General features: G+C 41.5%; 1 pseudogene; it reads left to right on the top strand.

Moving 5' to 3' along the window:
* Positions 914–1116, top strand: SRP14P4 (SRP14 pseudogene 4; annotated as a pseudogene).

Genomic DNA, 4136 nt, shown 5'->3' with positions numbered 1-4136 from the left:
CATATCCTGCTGTATTAGTCCATTTTCACACTGCTGGTAAAGACATACCTGAAACTGTGCAATTTATAAAAGAAAGAGGTTTAATGGGCTTACAGTCTCACATGGCTGGGGAGGCCTCAGAATCATGGCCAAAGGCAAGGAGAAGCAAGTCACATCTTACATGGATGGCAGGGGGCAAAGAGAGAGCTTGTGCTGGGAAACCTTTGTTTTTAAAACCATCAGATCTCATGAGACTCATTCACCATCATGAGAACAGCATGGGAAAGCTCCACCCCCATAATTCAATCACCTCCCACCAGGTTCCTCCCACAACATGTGGGAATTGCAGGAGTTACAATTCAAGATGAGATTTGGGTGGGGACACAGCCAAACCATATCACCTGCAACTAAGAAGAATGTTGAAGTTGATGAAGTAATACTGGAGAACTGTTAAGCCATTGGCAAGTCTAGATCTTGCAGAGTTAAATCATGTAAGAAATACAAGAATAACATAGAGAGAATTGGCAAACATAATGACAAGACAGGAAATTCAAATAGAATGATGTAAATACTTGGCAAAATCAATGAAAACTGTGAATTTTTTTAAAAAGGGCAATCTTGTAATCTTGCTTTGAAAGTCATATGGGAAGTAAAGAATGTTGTATAAAGTGGGGAATGTTTTATCTTGCTGTAATATAAGTTGTCAGACAATTAGGCAGTTCCCATTTGTACATAGTTCCAATTATAATCTAACTCAGTTAAATGAACAGTAAAGCAAACTTATTTTTATAATTTCTGGTTTTATTTCTCAAGTTGAAGTTTTGACCAAACCTAATTTTTTTCCATACTATTTACTATGATGTTTTGATTCTCAGTTAAAATGGGTTCACTTACAGCGGACTTTTCCTGGTACCATTTGTTCCTTGAGAACTGAGGTTGAACCAAACCCATTCTAGTGAAAGGTTCTGTTGCGGGCTTTGAGTCTTCAGACAGGTGTCTGTTAAGAACTACTGATGGGAAAAAGAAGGTTAGCATTGTGGTGAGCTCCAAAGAAGTGAATAAGTTCCGGATGGCTTATTCAAACCTACTGAGAACTAACATGGATGGGCTGAAGAAGAGGGACAAAAAGAACACAAGTAACATCAAAGTAGCATAGTGAAGGGCACTGAATTTCCTCTGCTTTCACCAACTTTCACCAGTGAATTGCAATTTTTCCTTTAATTTTTAGTTTTGGTCACATAACTAGGTTTCCGGTTTCCCCACAATAGGTGTTTTCATGTAAGACTAGGGTCATTTTGGAAAGAATAGTTGCAATGTTTATAGGGTAGTTGTGGTAAGAAGCTAGTTTATTTTACATCTGGCTAATTAGTCTGTGATGCATGGTTGTATACTACTGGATTATAGATTAAAAGTCTCTGTAGTCATCTCTGTGAAGACCAATGTGTCATTAAACATGTCCGTTTATCAGTAGCAGCAGCAACAACAAAAACGATCGTTAACTGGAAAGTGCTGCCAGAGAATCCAGGGAGAGCAAAGGCCATGCCTCCAGATTACACAACAGGGAATGGGATTTGGCAATAGTTTCAAGTCCTTTCTTTAATTCAGAGAATAGAAAATGTCCCCGATTCTGCAGCTATTAGTAGTTAACTTACTTTGGACCAAACACCGTGCATTTTCTCATTAATGTTCACAGTAAGGTAGGCCCTATTATGACCACTGTTTTCCGGATGAGGACACTAAGGCTTAGAGAGGCTAAGTCACATGGCCAAGACTTCATAGCTAACAAGTTGAGTTCTCATTCTCAAGTTAGTGCTCTTAACCAGTGTACTTCGCTCCTGTGCAAGTACTGGACTGTATAGTTCTATTTCTTCTAATTGCCACTTGGATTGTCCTTTACTTATAACATTAGCTGTTGGCGGACTGTTCTTGTTTGTTTGCAAGGCTGAGGTAATTTATCATGTTGGCAGAAGACAAGAATGTAGGTAGAAGAGAGAAAACAAAGAGTGCCAGCTGGCAAGGCCACTGTCGATTCATCAAATACTTCTTTAGCAATGCTTCATATCAGGCAGTGTGTCCGATGAACATGATATGATTCCTTTTAGGAACTCACCATTTGTTAGGTGACAGACAAAAAGAAAATGATACTATAGTAAGAAAAGAGCAGCACCAGAGCATACACAAGGTGCAGCTGCTACACAGGGGTGACCATTTCTGCTTTGGGGATTTAGGGAAGGCTGCACAGAATGAGAGCACTGAGCTCTCTTGAAAGATAAATAGGATCTCATCAGTCAGGCACGGTATAGATTTGTGTGCCTGGCAGAGGCAAGAGCTGATGCCAAAGGGAGGAGTTATGAAAGTTCATAGTTTGGTAGTGCTGGATGGGAGGGTTTGAAATAACAGGCATCCTGCTGACCCAGGCAAAGGGACTCAGACCATGAAGGGCCTTCTATGTTATGCTAAGGAATATGGGACTATTATGTCTTCTTTTTTTTTTTTTTTTGAGAGAGTCTCTTTCTGTCACCCAGGCTGGAGTGCAGTGGTGTGATCTTGCCTCACTGCAACCTCTGTCTCCTGGGTTCAAGTGATTCTCCTGCCTCAGCCTCCTAAATAGCTGAGATTACAGTCACGCACCACCACGCCCAGCTGATTTTTGTATTTTTAGTAGAGATGAGGTTTCACCATGTTGGCCAGGCTGGTCTTGAACTCCTGACTTCAAGTGATCTGCCCGCCTCAACTTCCCAAAGTGTTGGGATTACAGGCATAAGCCACTGTGCCCAGCCAAGGACTATTATCTCTAATCAAGATAGAGAATGAAGGATTTTATATGGGAGGGTGACATGATCAAACTGGATCCCTTTTGTGTGCCTCACCATATATCCTCTCCATCATCTTTGCTCTGCTCTGTGCCCTAGGAGCCTGACCTCTGTGGATAAAATCTGTTGGCAACCTTGCCTTCTGACTTTCATTTGGTTTGGCCCTTGGGGAGCACTAGCAAGGGATCAGAGAGTGGGAAGAGAGTAAGATTAGATAATTTATTCCCCCAGATCTCTACTTTTGTAGTCATCGTGCACCTGCCTTTGTCACTCAGCTGAAGGTCATTGCTCTTGTTAGGTGGCCCTCTACGCAGTGCTTGCTTTTTCTCTTTAGTAATTGCTTTATTCTCTTGCCTCATTAGGTCTATGGATAGTAAAGGTTACAAGTCTGGGAGTGTTTCATTATCTCTATGATCTTCCTACACTCTGCCCATATCTTTTAAAATAATCTCTATATTAAAATTTCCAGGCAGGCATGGTGGCACATGTCTGTAATCCCAGCAACTTGGGAGGTGGAGGAGGGAGGTTTGTTTGAACCCAAGAGTTCAAGATCTGAGATCTAAAAAAAATAGTGAGGCTGGACATGATAACTCATGCCTGTAATCCCAGCACTTTGGAAGGCTGAGGCAGAATGATTGTTTGAGCTCAGGAGCTTGAAACCAGCCTGGGCAACATAGCGAGACCCTGGCCGTATTTTTTTTAAAAGAAAGAAAAAAAAAGAAAGAAAAAGTAACACACTGTCCCTATGAAAACCTTTAAAAACATTAGCCAGTCATGGTCCCAGCTACTCAGAAGGCTGAGGTGGGAGGATAGCTTGAGCCCAGGAGTTCGAGGCTGCAGTGATCTATGTTTGCATCACTGTGTTCCAGTTTGGGTGATGGAAAAAATTTTCTCAACTTAATTTGAATGCCATTTTGTTCCTACTGAGACCTTCCTGGGAATCAGAGGTTCCTATATATTTATAAACCATATATTTACTTTAGAGTAATAAACCATATTGTATTAGTCTGTTCTATTGCTGCTAATAAAGACATACCCAAGACTGGGTAATTTATAAAGGAAGGGAGGTTTAACAGACTCACAGTTCCACATGGCTGGGGAGGCCTCACAATCATGGTGGAAGGTGAAGAAGGAGCAAAGACACGTCTTACATGGTGGTAGACACGAGAGAGCTTGTGCAGGGGAACTGTCATTTATAAAACCATCAGATATAGTGAGACTTATTCACTACCATGAGAACAGTATGGGAGAAGACCTGCCCCCATGATTCAATTACCTACCTCCCACGGCATGTGGGAATTATGGGAGCTACAATTCAAGATGAGATTTGGGTGGGGACACAGC

The sequence above is a fragment of the Homo sapiens genome, chromosome 1, assembly GCF_000001405.40.
Source record: "Homo sapiens chromosome 1, GRCh38.p14 Primary Assembly".
Lineage (NCBI taxonomy): Eukaryota > Metazoa > Chordata > Mammalia > Primates > Hominidae > Homo > Homo sapiens.
Note: the sequence above shows the minus strand (reverse complement) of the source record. Positions and strands in the feature narration are given on the sequence as shown.